This window comes from Homo sapiens, chromosome 2 (assembly GCF_000001405.40).
Source record: "Homo sapiens chromosome 2, GRCh38.p14 Primary Assembly".
NCBI lineage: Eukaryota > Metazoa > Chordata > Mammalia > Primates > Hominidae > Homo > Homo sapiens.
Window position 1 is genome coordinate 168,868,192 of NC_000002.12, and position 17,772 is coordinate 168,885,963.

The following is a 17,772-nucleotide window of genomic DNA, read 5'->3' on the forward strand; positions in this document are numbered from 1 at the left end:
CACATTCAAAGCAGTGTGTAGAGGGAAATTTATAGCACTAAATGCCCACAAGAGAAAGCAGGAAAGATCCAAAATTGACACCCTAACATCACAATTCAAAGAACTAGAAAAGCAAGAGCAAACACATTCAAAAGCTAGCAAAAGGCAAGAAATAACTAAGATCAGAGCAGAACTGAAGGAAATAGAGACACAAAAAACCCTTCAAAAAAATCAATGAATCCAGGAGCTGGCTTTTTGAAAAGATCAACAAAATTGATAGACAGCTAGCAAGACTAATTAAGAAGAAAAGAGAGAAGAATCAAATAGACGCAATAAAAAATGATAAAGGGGATATCACCACCGATCCCACAGAAATACAAACTACCATCAGAGAATACTACAAACACCTCTATGCAAATAAACTAGAAAATCTAGAAGAAATGGATAAATTCCTCGACACATACACTCTCCCAAGACTAAACAAGGAAGAAGTTGAATCTCTGAATAGGCCAATAACAGGCTCTGAAATTGAGGCAATAATTAATAGCTTACCAACCAAAAAAAGTCCAGGACCAGATGGATTCACAGCTGAATTCTACCAGAGGTACAAGGAGGAGCTGGTACCATTCCTTCTGAAACTATTCCAGTCAATAGAAAAAGAGGGAATCCTCCCTAACTCATTCTATGAGGCCAGCATCATCCTGATACCAAAGCCTGGCAGAGACACAACAAAAAAAGAGAATTTTAGACCAATATCCTTGATGAACATTGATGCAAAAATCCTCAATAAAATACTGGCAAACTGAATCCAGCAGCACATCAAAAAGCTTATCCACCATGATCAAGTGGGTTTCATCCCTGGGATGCAAGGCTGGTTCAACATACGAAAATCAATAAACGTAATCCAGCATATAAACAGAACCAAAGACAAAAACCACATAATTATCTCAATAGATGCGGAAAAGGCCTTTGACAAAATTCAACAACCCTTCATGCTAAAAACTCTCAATAAATTAGGTATTGATGGGATGTATCTCAAAATAATAAGAGCTATCTATGACAAACCCACAGCCAATATCATATGGAATGGACAAAAACTGGAAGCATTCCCTTTGAAAACCGGCACAAGACAGGGATGCCCTCTCCTACCACTCCTATTCAACATAGTGTTGGAAGTTCTGGCCAGGGCAATCAGGCAGAAGAAGGAAATAAAGGGCATTCAATTAGGAAAAGAGGAACTCAAATTGTCCCTGTTTGCAGATGACATGATTGTATATCTAGAAAACCCCATCGTCTCAGCCCAAAATCTCCTTAAGCTGATAAGCAACTTCAGCAAACTCTCAGGATGCAAAATCAATGTGCAAAAATCACAAGCATTTTTATACACCAATAACAGACAAACAGAGAGCCAAATCATGAGTGAACTCCCATTCACAATTGCTTCAAAGAGAATAAAATACCTAGGAATCCAACTTACAAGGGATGTGAAGGACCTCTTCAAGGAGAACTACAACCACTGCTCAGTGAAATAAAAGAGGACACAAAGAAATGGAAGAACATTCCATGCTCCTGGGTAGGAAGAATCAATATCATGAAAATGGCCATGTTGCCCAAGGTAATTTATAGATTCAATGCCATCCCCATCAAGCTACCAATGACTTTCTTCACAGAATTGGAAAAAACTACTTTAAAGTTCATATGGAACCAAAAAAGAGCCCGCATTGCCAAGTCAATCCTAAGCCAAAAGAACAAAGCCAGAGGCATCACGCTACCTGACTTCAAACTATCCTACAAGGCTACAGTAACCAAAACAGCATGGTACTGGTACCAAAACAGAGATATAGACCAATGGAACAGAACAGAGCCCTCAGAAATAATCCCACATATCTACAACCATCTGATCTTTGACAAACCTGACAAAAACAAGCAATGGGGAAAGGATTCCCTATTTAATAAATGGTGCTGGGAAAACTGGCTAGCCATATGTAGAAAGCTGAAACTGGATCCCTTCCTTACACCTTATACAAAAATTAATTCAAGATGGATTAAAGACTTACATGTTAGACCTAAAACCATAAAAACCCTAGAAGAAAACCTAGGCAATACCATTCAGGACATAGGCATGGGCAAGGATTTCATGTCTAAAACACCAAAAGCAATGTCAACAAAAGCCGAAATTGACAAATGGGATCTAATTAAACTAAAGAGCTTCTGCACAGCAAAAGAAACCACCATCAGAGTGAACAGGCAACCTACAGAATGGGAGAAAATTTTTGCAACCTACTCATCTGACAAAGGGCTAATATCCAGAATCTACAATGAACTCAAACAAATTTACAAGAAAAAAACAAACAACCCCATCAAAAAGTGGGCGAAGGATATGAACAGACACTTGTCAAAAGAAGACATTTATGCAGCCAAAATCACATGAAAAAATGCTCATCATCACTGGCCATCAGAGAAATGCAAATCAAAACCACAATGAGATACCATCTCACACCAGTTAGAATGGCAATCATTAAAAAGTCAGAAAACAACAGGTGCTGGAGAGGATGTGGAGAAATAGGAACACTTTTACACTGTTGGTGGGACTGTAAACTAGTTCAACCATTGTGGAAGTTGGTGTGGCGATTCCTCAGGGACCTAGAACTAGAAATACCATTTGACCCAGCCCTCCCATTATTGGGTATATACCCAAGGGATTATAAATCATGCTGCTATAAAGACACATGCACACGTATGTTTATTTCGGCACTATTCACAATAGCAAAGACTTGGAACCAACCCAAATGTCCAACAATGATAGACTGGATTAAGAAAATGTGGCACATATACACCATGGAATACTATGCAGCCATAAAAAAGGATGAGTTCATGTCCTTTGTAGGAACATGGATGAAGCTGGAAACCATCATTCTCAGCAAACTATCGAAAGGACAAAAAACCAAACACCACATATTCTCACTCCTAGGTGGGAATTGAACAATGAGAACACATGGACACAGGAAGGGGAACATCACACAACGGGGACTGTTGTGGGTTGGGGGAGGGGGGAGGGATAGCATTAGGAGATATACCTAATGAAATGACGAGTTAATGGGTGCAGCACACCAATATGGCACATGTATACATATGTAACAAACCTGCACATTGTGCACATGTACCCTAAAACTTAAAGTATAATAATAATAAAAACAAGAAAAAAAGAGATATGTAATAGAGAAGAAAAATAAACCGTTTTTATATACACTATTTGTATGTTAATTATAAACCGTGGCAGTAAAAGCTTTCCGAACATTGGCAAGAAAAGCTGAAAAATTGTTGGTCTTCCTTACATTCTCTTGAAATTCTGCTAGGCCCTCAAGATGAGGGGCACTATCTGACACTAGAAAAAAAAAAAAAAGAAATCAAAGACAATTAGAATGAGTTTTTTTATGGCACAGAAGTATTTCTAATCTAGATGCTCTCATCTGGTTTGAATGTCAATTCCATCTTAATGAAATTCTTTGAGCAAAAAAGGATACACTTGATTTTCCTATGCCAAATATCTTTTGGACCTTTCCTTCGTTTAATCTCTAAATATTCAAATCTTAAGTACTATAATCTTGCTTTAAATTTAAACAGATGGCACTGAAGGATCGAAGAGTTTAGTGACACAGAATGACCCTGCCCATCATCTTAAACTTATATATTTTGTTTTAACTATTTAAACTTTTTTTAAAAACTGTTAAGTCATTTTTATCTGCAACACTTTGGTCTGACTGACTTTTCATTTCTGACCACTGGAATTAAAAAAAAAAAAGGAACAATTTTCTTTTTTTTTGAGACAGATTCTTGATTTGTCACCAAGCCTGGAAGTACAGTGGTGAGATCCCAGCTCACTGCAAACTGCCTCCTGGCTTCAAGCAATTCTTTTGCCTCAGCTTTCTGAGTAGCTGGGATTAAAGGTAACATGTCCAGCTAACTTTTGTATTTTCAGTAGAGGCAGGGTTTCACCATGTTACCCAGGCTAGTCTTGAATTCCTGACCTCAAGTGATCCGCCTGCCTCTGCCTCCCAAAGTGCTGGGATTACAGGCGTAAGCCACCATGCCCAGCCTGAAAAAAGAACAGTTTTCAATGCCCAGCCTTAATAACTTACAATTATGAAAGAAATATCTAGAATTTTCCAAGTGAAATGGCAGGCATTAGAAAATGTGGTTGCTATTCCAAGAGTGGTATTTACAGGGGCTATTAATCAAATGAGACTCAAAGTCACGAATAACAGTATTGTCCTTGTATGTAGTTGTACCAGCTGGTACACTGGGACAAGTCTCCAGTGAAGGTGGTCAAAGGAAAAGAAATTCACCCATTATCAGATTTCCAGCTCTCTTGTACAGATTGCTTAGGAAACAAGGTCCATGACCACAGCAGAGAAACAACAGCAAAGGGCATCTGGTCCAAAATGTATCCTGTATATTCTATTTTAATATACTATCATGTACTATCAGATTATACCATAAGAGAATATCCAATTTAGAGAAAATTGAAAAGCTAAATAAGAGGTTTTTGGGGCTTGCTTTTTAAAATCTAGCACTAATTAGATTGGAAGATATTTATCTAGAGAGAAAAAAACCCAAACATCTGTATAAGAAATCAGATTCTCAAAATATAAATTCCCCAGAAATAGGAACTGAGTCACCAGGGCACAGCGCTGTGCCAGCTCAGCAGTTCACCTGAGTGTCTGTCAGCTACAAAGGCTTTAAGATGATAGCATAGGTGTAATGAGCTGAGAACCATTTTTATGAATTCCAATAAATTAAGGATTACTTGTACAGGGGCATTAGAAGAATAAACAAGAGATAAATATATTTCTATTCTCTTCTTGTTCACATTATTATCAATGATATATATTCCTTATAAATCAAAGGCCTTTTGGCCAGCTGCAGAATCAGTAACTAACCTTTATTATCAATGTGTGAGATTTGCAGGATTCGTATTTCAAAAATTATTTTTGGGAAAATAAATTGTTAAATTCTGGTGACTTTACATTTGATTTTAAAATCATCTACTTGGATAAATTCTAATATTCACATTTAAGCAGCCATTTTCTTTAAAGCTTCACCTTTTAAAAAAGTTATCTAAAAGGACAATTCATATTTGCACATAAATGCAATGATCTTTGTTTTTAGATTGTTCAGACACTGTGGCACTGTGCCATCCTGAAGAGATGCTACTTATTAAGGATCTTAGACAGTATCTATAAATCAAGACTATATTCACTTCCTTTAGAAGACTATACTCCAAGAAGCAAGACTGAAAAAGGAAGCAATAGAGTCTGGAGCTATTACTTTCCTCCATATTACTTTATATGCTGATTGAAATAACATTTTGGAACGCCAATCTTAAATACCAGTTAGGAGATATTAGTACATACCTTCATAGTCCCTTGCTTCATTGAGATGTAAGGAAAACATAAATGGGCTCTCAGGATTCTTAGGGTCAATATTAGTGAAAATAAACTGCAATTTCTCACCTGAAAAGAGATTAAACTATTTAGTGTGTCAAAGCTTTCAATGGAGATACCCTTTCTTACTCCATCTTTGATCAATATCTGCACTGCTAAGTATATACAGTCATGTAACCAACATTTCCAAATGCAGAAGTTACAAATTCGTTTTAAAATATATTATAGTTTCAATATGACATCAAAAATACAGTCAACAAAAGAAAAACTAGATAAATTGGACTTTGTTAAAATTAAAAACTTTTGTCCTTCAAAGAACACTATCAAGAGAAGGAAAAGACAACCTAAAGAATGGGAGAAAATATTTGCAATCATTTATCTGATAAAGGTTGAATACATAGAATGTATTTAGAACTCCTGCAACTAAAAACCACCCAATTCAATAATGGGCAAAAAATCTGAAAGGACATTTCTCCAAAGAATATATAAAAATGGCCATTAAGTCCACAAAAAGATGCTCAACATCATTAGTCATTATGTAAATGCAAGCCGAAACTACAATGAGATACCATTTCATACCCAGTAGGATGGCAAATAAATAAATGGAAAATAACAGTGTTGGTGAGGATGTGGAGAAACTGGAACCCTAGCACATTGCTGGTAGAAATGTAAAATGGTACAGCCACTGTGAAAAACAGTTTGGCAGATCCTCAAAAAGTTTAAATACAGAATTACAATATGACCCAGCAATTCCACTCCTAAGTATAGAGCTGAAAGAATTGAAAACGGAGACTCAAGTAGATAACTGTATGCCAATGTTCATAGCAGCATTATTCATAGTAGCCAAAAAGTGGAAATAACCCAGTGCCCACCAACAGATGAATGGATATAGTACACACATACAATGGAACATTGTTCAGCCATAAAATGGAATGAACTTGGCTGCTGTGGTCTTTTTTATGATTCACTAGGAGAACTCATAGGATTCACTCAGCAGCATATGGCCATACTCAGGGCTATGATTTATTACAGCAAAAGGATATAGCGAAATCAGCAAAGGGAAAAGGTACATGGAGTAAAGTCCAAGGAGAACCAGGCATAAGCGTCCAGAACCTCTAATGAGCTTCCTGGTAGACAACACTTCACGTGTGTTGTCACAATTTGATGCTGAAGGAATTAGCACATCCTGTTTGACTCTACTGGGTTAGCACTCTTGAAAGCTTGTGCCAGGTTTCCTGTAGACTTTGCCCCACGTGCTATTGTTTCTTTGCTGATTCTGTTCTGTATCCTTTTGCTGCAGTAAATCTTAGCTATGAATATGACTATATGCTAATTCCTTCTAGTGAATCACCAAACCTGAGAGTGATCTTGGGAAGCCCAGACACAACAGACATTGCCATACATTAGCGATGTACATGTGATATACATGCAACAGGCATCAAAATATTCATGTGTTTTAGCCTACTAATTCCTCTCTGGGAAACAATTCTATGAAAAACCATGCAAAGAAAATGGGAAAGTCTATGCTCACTGGTTTACAATAGTCCCCCTTTATCCACCAGGGAGAAATATGTTCCAAGACCCCAACAGATGCCTGAAACCGTAGATAGTAGCAAACACTATGTAAACAGATGCTCCTTGACTTACAATGGCATTATGTGCCAATAAACACATCAAAAGTCAAAAACATTGTAAGGCAAAAATGCATTTAACACCCTGATAAACTGATTATAAAGTCAAAAAATTGTAAGTTGAACTATCATAAGTCAGGGACTGTCCATACTATGTATTTTCCTATACATTCATACCTATGATAAAGTTTATGTTGTAAATTAGGCACAGAAAGAGATTAACAACAACTAATAATAAAACAGAACAATTACAACAACGTACTGTAATAAAAGTTATATTAATGTAGCTTCTCTCCCTCTCACAATATCTTATTGTACCATACTCATCCATTTAATATCATCAGACCACGGTTGAACATGGGTAACAGAAACCGTGAATAAGTGGGGATGACTGTATTTCTAAAACTGAAAAAAATGGCAGAATCCAAATGTTGGTAGAAGCAAAATATGTGCTAAACAATAGGTAAATGGTTGAATAAATTATGCTATATTAATAGAATGAATTATTACATCACTACTTAAAAATTACCATTATGAAGACTATAGCAACTGAGGAAATGCTCAGAATACAATGCTGATAGGAAGAACAAAAATTATTTGCATGTTGACAATCATGCCAAAAATACATTTATTAAAATACCGAATGATAAATAACTACAGCATCAGTAGCTACATTAGAATAATTTAAAAATTGTAATTTTTTCCTATTTTCTAAAAAGTTAATGTGGTCATTATTTTAGTTGAAAATATTTTTAAAATTTTCCTCTACTTAAGAAAAGACATACTTTTGTAATCTCCTATATTTTATTTATATTAACAAACTTACCATAAATTTTTCGAATTTCTAGTCCAAGTCGATCTTTATACAAGTCTGCAGATTTCTGCAGCCTTTTCAACCTCTCTGCATTCGCTTTATTAGCAGTAGAAATAGCTGATTAAAAAACACACACAATATTAAATGTTTTAAATAATAGCAAATTAATGCTCACTGAGTTAATTTTTTAAACTTAAAATCAACTATAAAATGATGCCAAGCCTATAAATCTGCTTCCATTTATTGTTTCTATATCTACCAGTTGGCTAAAAGAAGCTTCTGTTCATTCAAGTTGGAAGGAAAAACTGCTCAGGAAAATGTATACAGATAGTGAGAAGAATAAGCCTTGTCTTACTTTATTATGTAGTAGCATAAGTAAATAGGCCAGGGATTTGTATGGCTGGCATAGAAATAGACTTCATTTATACTACTGTGCTTTTTTTCTAGATAACCAATTGCTTCATGGGAAAATGTTCTCTTCCTTTAACATAACTATTTCTTATGAGAGGTCAGCCTTATTTCATGCTAGTTTAGTTTTTTCTTTTTTTTTTTTTTAAGTTAGCACAATAGTCCCTAAATATACTTTAAAGTAGCACAATAGTCCCTAAGTAATGAGAAAAATAATTTCACAATTTAGACTTGGATAAGAACTCCACAAGAAAAAGCATTTACAAAACAAACTTTGCTATTTTCAGATTTGAAGAATAGACTACCTAGTTTGTGAGCAAACAAGGCTCCTTTCTAAAAGATGCATTCATTTGAATATGAAAGTTCTTTATACATAAGAGATTTTGCAGCATAAAAAGAACGCTTAACATTACCTGGCAGAGAATGTATGGTCAATAAATATTTGTTGCATAAAGTACACTATGGCTTGTCCAAAGCAAATTTTATTTAGGGACACCATTTCTCACTCTGCTTAATTAAAACCTCCTATCAATTTCATTATTACTGATTATATTAAAAATAACAAGAGAAGGCCCTTTAAGTAAGACAAAAGAAAATAAAACCCAGTTAGTTAACTTTAATGACATCTTGCAGAGATGAGTGGCTGGTTATGCCCTGGGGTACTGTAATCCATTTTTAGCAATGAACTGGAACAGGCAAGATGTACTTAATAAAGGTGAACCGTCACCACTTTCCATTTTAGATCAGTATGTTTATAAGAGGAAACTTACTTTCCTTCTTCCTAGAATATTCTTCCTTAAGATCCTGGATATTTGCAGTCAGTACTTCCAATTCCTGCTTTTTGCCTTTTACTTCAGCAATCAATTTTAACAAGTTATCCTTTTTTTCTTGAATGAGCTTATTTTGCCTGCTGATCTCTGTAAGAAGCACAAGGTATTAGCTAGAATATGCTTGGCTCTCTGACATGTATCTAAGAAAAGGCCAAAGTTTACTGACTTTCATAAAGATTAATAAAGAATGTTTTGACTGATAAGCATTTTCTAATGATTCAAAATTATAAAAGACAAAAAAGAAAAAAAACCTAATCTATTCTTTCCTACTTACTCATCTTTAAAAAAAATGAGACAGAAAAGCTTCTTAAAATGAGAATACCAAATTAAATCAAGAAACAGAAAATCAAAAGATCATGACCCTTGCAGCTCCCCACTCCAAATAAGCACAGAAATAAAAACTACCAACAAAGATAACTAAACTCTATTATTTATTTTATTTTTATATTTTTTTGAAACAGGGTCTCACTGTTGCCCAGGCTGGAATACAGTGGCACAATCACTACTCATTGCAGCCTCCCACCTTAGCATCCCTAGTACCTGGGACTACAGGCACACACCACATCACGCCTGGCTGATTTTTAAATTTTTTTGTCTCACTATGTTGCCCAGGCTAGTCTCAAACTCTTAGGCTCAAGCAATCCTCCTACCTCAGCCTCTCAAAGTGCTGGGATTACCAGTGCAAGCCACCACGCCTGGCCAACAACCAAACTCTAGAAGATGGTTTTAAACAGTGCTTTGAGGAAAAGCCTCACTCTAATGCTATATAAATTATTCCGGAACATACCAAAAGACAGAAATAAGTGAAGGAAGACAGGTGGGCAGGCAAAGCTTACAATGTAAGCATAATTCTAAAGCTAAAACAAAAAATTAAAGATAGCACTGGCCCTCTGCCCACAACTATATAAACTAATCTCACTTAAAAACATAGGTGCAAAGATGCTCAATAAAATATTAAGTTACATTAAAAATAATCCACTAAGAGCAAATATAGTTTATACCAAGGATTTTACATAGTGAAGGTGTAATATTAGGAAAATCCATCACATGAATAAGAATTGAAGAGACATTTCATATGAATTCAGCATCCACTCCTGACTATTCTTAACTATAAATGGAAGGACATTTAACATGATAGAAACAAATCAAAAACCTTTCAAATCTCATCATATATATTTGGCATTTCCAAAAGGAATAAAATAGATGCCAGTTAGCACTGTTATTTAATATTTCCCTAGAAGTTTCTGGCCAAGACAAGATATTTAGCTGGTAAAACTATAAGGAAAAAACAAGAACTATTTTTCATTATATGTAGACAATAGACATCTATCTAGAATACTCAGAAAAATCTACTGAAAACCTATCAGAATTTGTGGTACTACACCCCAAAAAAATCAATAGTTTTTGTACATAACACCAGTGATTAATACATAGGTAAGAATAGATGTTTATACTAATATTAATAGCTGCAATATTCGTTTTTGTTCTTTGTTTTTATTGGTTTTATTAGTTTTTGCTATTCTGTGCTATTTTTAAGTACTGGCATACGTTGGAGATATTGCAAGTTCTATTCCAGATCACTGTGATAAAGCGAATATTGCCATAAAGCAAGTCACACAAATGTTTTGGTTTCCCAGTACATAGAAAAGTTATTTTACACTATATTGTAGTCTATTAAGCGTGCAATAGCATTATGGCTAAAAAACAAATGTACATATCTTAATTAAAAATATTTTATTGCTAAAATATGCTAATAATCATCTGAGCCTTCAGCAAGTCCTAAACTTTTGCAGGGGGAGGGTCTTGCCTTGATGTTGATGGCTGCTGACTGATCAGAGTGGTAGCTGCTGAAGGTTGGGGTGGCTGTGGCAATTTATTATAATAGGACAACAATAAAGTTTGCTGCATTAATCAACTCTTTCATGAAAGATTTCTCTGCAGCATACAATGATGTTTGACAGCATTTACCCCTGGTAGAACTGTTTTCAAAATTGGAGTCAGTCTTCTCAAACCCTGCGCTACTTTATCAACTAAGTTTATATAATAGTCTAAATCCTTTGTTGTCAGTTAAACAATGTTCACAGCATCTTCACCAGGAGTGGATTCCATTCCATAAAACCACTTTCTTTGCTTATCCATAAGAAGCAACTCCTTATCCATTCAAGTTTTATCTGAGATGGCAGCAATTCGGTCACATCTTCAGGCTCCACTTCTAAATCTAGGTCTCTTGTGATTTCTACCACATCTGTAGTTACTTTCTCCATTGAAGTCTTGAACCTCTCAAAGTCATCCATGAGGGTTAAAATCAACTTCTTCCAAGCTCTTGTTCATGTTGATATTTTGACCTCTTCCTGTGAATCACGAATGTTCTATGGCATCTAGAATGGTGAATCCTTTCTCTGGAAGGTTTTCAATTTATTTTGCCCAGATCTATCAGAGTTAATCACTATTTGGGTAGCTATAACCTTATTTCTTAAATAATGAGACATGAAAGTCAAAACTACCCCTTGATCCATGGGCTGCAGAATGGATGTTGTCTTAGTAGGCATGAAAACAACACTAATCTCCATCAGCGCTCTTGAGTGACCAGATGCACTGTTAATGAGCAGAAATATTTTGAAAGCCATCTTTTTTCCTGAGTAGAAGGCCTCAACAGTGGGCCTAAAATATTCAGTAAACTATGCTATACACACATGTGCTGTCATCTAGGCTTTGCTATTCCATTTATAGAACATAGGCAGAGTAGATTTAGTATAATTCTTAAGGGCCCTAGGATTTGGGGAATGGCAAGTGAGCACAGGCTTCAACTTAAAGTCACCAGGTGCATTAGTCACTAAAGAGTCAGCCTGTCTTTGAAGCTTCAAAGCAGGCCTTGACTTCTCTCTAGCTATGAAAGTCCTAGATGGCATCTTCTTCCAATAGAAAACTGCTTTTTCATCTACATCAAAAATCCGTTCTTTAATGATCTGTTCATTCAATGATCTTAGCTAGATAACTTGCTGTAGCTTCTACATTAGCACTTCTGCTTCATCTTGCATTTTTATTTTATGGAGGCAGCTGCTTTCCTTAAACCTCAAGAACCAACTTCTGCTAGCTTCAAACTTTTCTTCTGAAACTTCCTCATCTTTCTCAAGCCTTCACAGAATTGAAGAGGGCTAGAGTCTTACCCTGAATTAGGCTTTTGCTTAAGGGAATGTTGTGGTTTGTTTGCTCTTCTATTAAGGCCACTAAAATTTTCTCTAACAATAAGGCTGTTTCTCTTTCTTATCATTCGTGTGTTCACTGAATTAGCACTTTTGCTAATTGGCGCAAGAGGCCAAGCTTTCAGCCTATCTCAGCTTTTGACACACTTTCCCACTAAGCTTAATCATTTCTAGCTTTTGATTTAAAGTGAGAGACCTATGACTCCTTCTTTCAGTTGAACAATTAGAGGTCACTATAGGGTTATTAATTGGCCTAATTTCAATACTGGAGACTAGGGAGGCCCAAGGAGAGGAAGAATGACAGGAATGGCTGGTCAGCAGAGCAGTCAGAAGTCATTCAACATTTATCCATTAAGTTTGTCATCTTATATGGGTGTCATTCATGGCACTTAAAACAATTACAATAGTAACGTCAAAGATCACTGATCATAGAGCACCACAAGAAATATAATAATGACAAGTTTGAAATCTTGTGAGAATTACCAACATGTGACAGATACGAAGTCACCACATGCTGATGGAAAAATGGTGCCCACAGACTTGCTTGACACATGGTTGCCATTAACCTTTAATTTGTAAAAATTGCAATATCTGTAAAGTGCAATAAAGTGAAGTGCAATAAAACAAGGTATCCATGTACCAAAATACTGGCCTTTTACATCTGTCTCACATATTGGCCAGCACCTCATTACTCCTTCTTGGCTTTAATCTCTCTACCTTCCCTGCCTTCCCCATGTCCCTGTCACTCTCTGTACAAGTTCTTCTTGCCCTAGCCCTCTTAAACACTCAGCTTCTGCAACTACCCACCCCTTTCTCACACACATGCTCAAAATAAAAACAACAATGCCTGTGCATAAACCTGGCCAAACCTCTCTGCTGGGAAAGGAGTAACCCTGGCAGGACCACTTCTTCCTCTGTTTGTTGGAAGAAAGATACAACCGCTGCTACTTGGGGCCCATTGCACAGAGATGGTGTCCCCAAAATGCCAATCAGGGGGCTAGACAAAGCAGGAAGGCACAAAAAGCATAAGAGCTCTAGGGCAGAGGCTACTGAGGTCAAATAAGCAGAGCCAGTAGAGCTCAAGTGGTGCTTTATAATGTGCTTATGAATTTCTGAATTAAAGATTTAGTTTTACTAATACTTAAATGAAATCTAAACACTTTAAAATCGAATGCCAATTAATGCCAGTAGTCTAGAATTGTATCAAATAAACCAAACTATCTATACTGTCATTTAATTCCAGTATCATAATTACAAGTAAATATGTGCTCCAAGGATGAGTAATCTTTTTCTCAAAGTTAAACAAGTTAGTCCATCACTGAATTTATGAAGACTTTAAATACCATAAATCTTCAAAAGAGAAATACACTATGATATGTTTCCCAAATTGAAGTGAGCATGGAATTCTCAGTGCTTGAACAACATCTCTCAAGACAAGCATTCCTCAGGCAACAGGAAAATCTCGTTTACAGAGGTAACAAACAGAAAATTCAGAATCAACCTAGATCAAGAAATATGTAGGCTCTGTTTGAAAAAAACTGCAAAGCTTGTCTGAGACACATATTTGATCTGGATATATGAAGAGATATTTTATGCTTCTAAATATTATAAAAGATATGCCAAACAAACGTTGGCAGTTAGGAAGTTAATATGATAAATGAAATATCAAATCAATGTTCAAGAGGTAGATTATTCTCTAAACAGTGCCGAAATCCAAAATAAATTCTTTAGTCTTTTACTACTTTTTTAAAAGAAGAGGAAAAACACTCAGCAGTTCAGTAACTTGCCCAAAGCTGTATTTGCTAGGCTAAAATAAATAATAAGGGCCAGGCATGGCGGCTCACGCCTGTAATCCCTGCACTTTGCAACGCTCAGGCTGGCGGATCATGAGGTCAGGAGATCGAGACCATCCTGGCCAACATGGTGAAACCTCGTCTCTGCTAAAAATACAAAAATGAGCTGGGCGTGGTGGCGTGTGCCTGTAATTCCAGCTACTAGGGAGGCTGAGGCAGAATAGCTTGAACCAGGGAGTCGGAGGTTGCAGTGAGCTGCGATCACGCCACTGCACTCCAGCCTGGTGACAGGGCGAGACCCTGTCTCAAAAATAAATAAATAAATAAATAAACAGACAGACAGACTGCATTCAAACTCAGGTCTTGACTTCAAAGGCAATGCTTTGCCCATTAAATTATCCTCCTCCAACAATGGGTTACCATTTTAATCTCAAGAGGAAGACACAAATACAAATTCCTAAGAAAAAAACAGACAAAGGGATAAACAGATGAAACACAGAATGCAGATGGCTAATAAATATGAAAGATAATTTAACCTCAGATTAATCACAGAAATGCAAGTAAAACAGTAAGATTTCAATTTTCATTTATTACAACAATGTTTACAGAAATAATTACTAATATTGAGAGGAATGCAAAATGCTAGGGTCCTTCTAGAAAATATTTTTGACATTGTAAAATAAAAGAGCCTTAAAAATATTTACCTCCTTTGACCCAGCAATTTCATTTTTACAAAGTTACCCTAGGGAAATAGGATACGTGCAAATATTTATATATAAAAATTATTTTTCAGTATTTATAATGAAAAACTGAAAACATCTTCAATGGCTAACAAGCAAATGATTTTTAAAATATGGTATATCGATAAGATGGAATGTATTTTCAAAACAATTTAGCAATGTGGGAAAATATTCTCAAAGTTGAAAAAAAAAGATAGTTATATAGATACCATGAATATAATTACGTTAAAAACCTACATAGCTCATGAAAAACAAAAGCTAGAAAGTTGTTTTGTTAAATATGGTTCTCAACATTACAGGTGATATTTTTTGCTTTTCTGTATGTTCTAAGAATATGAACATGATCATATATTACGTCAAGTATAATTTAAAAATAAACATCTTACTAGAAAGAAAAATGCTACTATTTAAAGAAAAAAATTAAGTAGAATTGTACTACACAAGAAATTCAGATTGAAAGTCAAAGGTCTCAAGTCTGATTCAGCTTATCAGTTCTTACCCAAAGATCTCGGTCAAAATCACGACTTCTGAAACTCTTTTGCTCATTTGTAAAATGGGGATAACATTGGCTACCTCATTCACTGGGGTTAGAGTATCCAGTAATAATAATACAAAAACTTTTAAACTAGTGACACATAAATACCACATATGAGAGTGTTTTTATTATAACATTTGAAGAACTGTGTGATTTGTGGCCAATACAAATATAGGAGTCCTCGATGCTGTATGACCATTTTTTTTTCTTTTTTTTTTTTTGAGATGGAGTCTCGCTCTGTCGCCAGGCTGCAGTGCAGTGGTGCAATCTCAGCTCACTGCAACCTCCGCCTCCTGGGTTCAAGCAATTCTCCTGCTTCAGCCCCCTGAGCAGACAGGACTACAGGCACTCACCACCACGCCCAGCTAATTTTTATATTTTTAGTGGAGATGGGGTTTCACCATGTTGGCCAGGATGGTCTTGATCTTTTGACCTCGTGATCCGCCTGCCTCGGCCTCCCAAATTGCTAGGACTACAGGTGTGAGCCACTGCACCTGGCCTGCTGTGTGACTATTATTACATGTGTACATAGCAGGCTGTCTTATTCCCAGGACCGACATTTCAAACTTTCACTCCTACACACCAGAGGAACCCTTCTTTGCATTTTCACTCCAATGCACGTCAGTATAGCACAATGGAAAGAGCACAGACACTATCATTGTGATCCTAGATCCTCTATTTACCTTAGGCAAGTTTCTTAACCTCAGTGAGCTTCAATTTCCTCATCTGTAAAACAGGGATAATCTCTGTCTTAGACAGACTTCAGGATTTATAATAATGTAAAAGCCTGCCCATAGTAAATACCTCTCACTTTCAATAGATGATCTTCCTTCTTGTGATAATTAGAATTTATGGCTCCAGAACTTTAGGCTATTTTGTTCTCTGCAGTATCTTCCTAGAAGATTACCTGGTATACAGCAGTAGCTCAACAAGTATTTGGTCAGTGAATGAATTCCTTCCATCTTTCTTGTTCCCAAAATATCTATCTCAATCTTTACCTTACTGGATCTACCTGTGACTTACAGTGTTAACAACACCCTTTATTATTTCTCTCCTCTTTTAGTTTTGGTGACCTTCTCTCTTACTTCCTCTGTTCTCCAATTACGAATTCTGTCTTTCCTGGTCGTTTCCATTTAACTCTCTCAAATTGGAGAGGAAATGTAATGCTCTGAAGATGAGTAAGGCTTCTGGAGTTAATCTGATGATCTGGGGCAAATCATAATCTCTCTGGGACTGCAATATCAGAAAAGTAGGAATAATAATAATAAATGATACCAACCCTGGAGAACTATCATGAGGACTGAAGGAGGTGGTCAATGTAAGGCATTTAGCACAGTACCTGGCACACAGTAATGAGTAAATAAATATTATTACTAACCAAGGCTACCTTCTTTCACTCTACATATTCTTCCACAGCTTCAACCCCCTAAATACACTAAAGACTCACAAATCCCTATCTTCAGCAAAGACCACTTTTCTGGCTGGCTTCCAGATGAATATATCCATTGCCTATCAGATATCGCCACCTGAAGACTTGCTGCACAATAAACTCAGCATATTCACCCAACATGTTTAAAATTGAACCCACATATGTTTCCTTCCCACCTATAAAAACATGCTCCTCCTCTCTTTCAATCCCTCACTTAGTAAATGCATCACCACTGATTCATACTCCATGTCAGAAGGAATCATCCTAGACCACAGCATACTCTCACCTTCAGGCCCACAGTCTTGAGTCTAACTCTTCAGACCTGTCACTGGTCCAAGCCATACTCATTATGTGCCTGTACTATTACACTAAATTTTTCCTTTAACTGGTCTCTTTATGGACAACAATCTCACTCCCCTCCTGTTTATTGTGCATGATTACTAGATTGCTTCTTCTGGCATATAAATCCAATATCATTTTCCAGGTTGAAATCCTGTAGCAACTCTTTATCTCCTGAAAAACAAAGTCTAACCCCCTTTGCACAACATGGAATGTCCATCATCTGGCCAACGAGTTCTTCCAGCCACTTCTCCACCACTCCCCATCCACAGGGTACTCTAGCCATCCCAGAACTTAACAAGCTCTCATGTTCCTGCCATATTCCATGTGCTGTTCCCTCTTCCCAGAATGTAATGCTGACTCTGTTGAACATCCCTAACCCTCCTTTATGTGATTTTCTCCAAAGTAGTGTGGTATAATCAGACCGCAGGTTCAAATCATATTTCTGTTCATTATCAGCTATCTGACCTTGAGAAAGTTGCTTAACCTCTCTGTGCTTATTTTGTCATAAAAAAGCAGTATCTATACCTCTTAGGGTTGTTGTGAGGATTCATGAGTCAATATATGCAAAGAGCTTAGAACAGGGCTTAGCACATGGTATACAAGGTAATGGTTAGCTATTAAATA

The 17,772-nt window shown here is 36.4% G+C and overlaps 1 protein-coding gene across 2 annotated transcripts in view; it reads right to left on the reverse strand.

Moving 5' to 3' along the window:
- SPC25 (SPC25 component of NDC80 kinetochore complex) overlaps positions 1-17,772 on the reverse strand; it is a 28,910-nt gene that overhangs the window by 6,671 nt on the left and 4,467 nt on the right. Inside the window, exons 4-7 of one of the 2 annotated variants that reach the window (NM_020675.4) lie at positions 9,047-9,193; positions 7,881-7,985; positions 5,394-5,492; positions 2,700-3,364 (exon numbers count right to left, since the gene is read on the reverse strand). In NM_020675.4, the coding sequence (NP_065726.1) occupies positions 3,240-3,364; positions 5,394-5,492; positions 7,881-7,985; positions 9,047-9,193 (476 nt within the window). In that variant the 3' untranslated portion in view covers positions 2,700-3,239. Of the gene's footprint in view, positions 1-2,699; positions 3,365-5,393; positions 5,493-7,880; positions 7,986-9,046; positions 9,194-17,772 lie in introns of those variants that run through there. The other variant, XM_011511516.3, reaches the window with a different exon arrangement.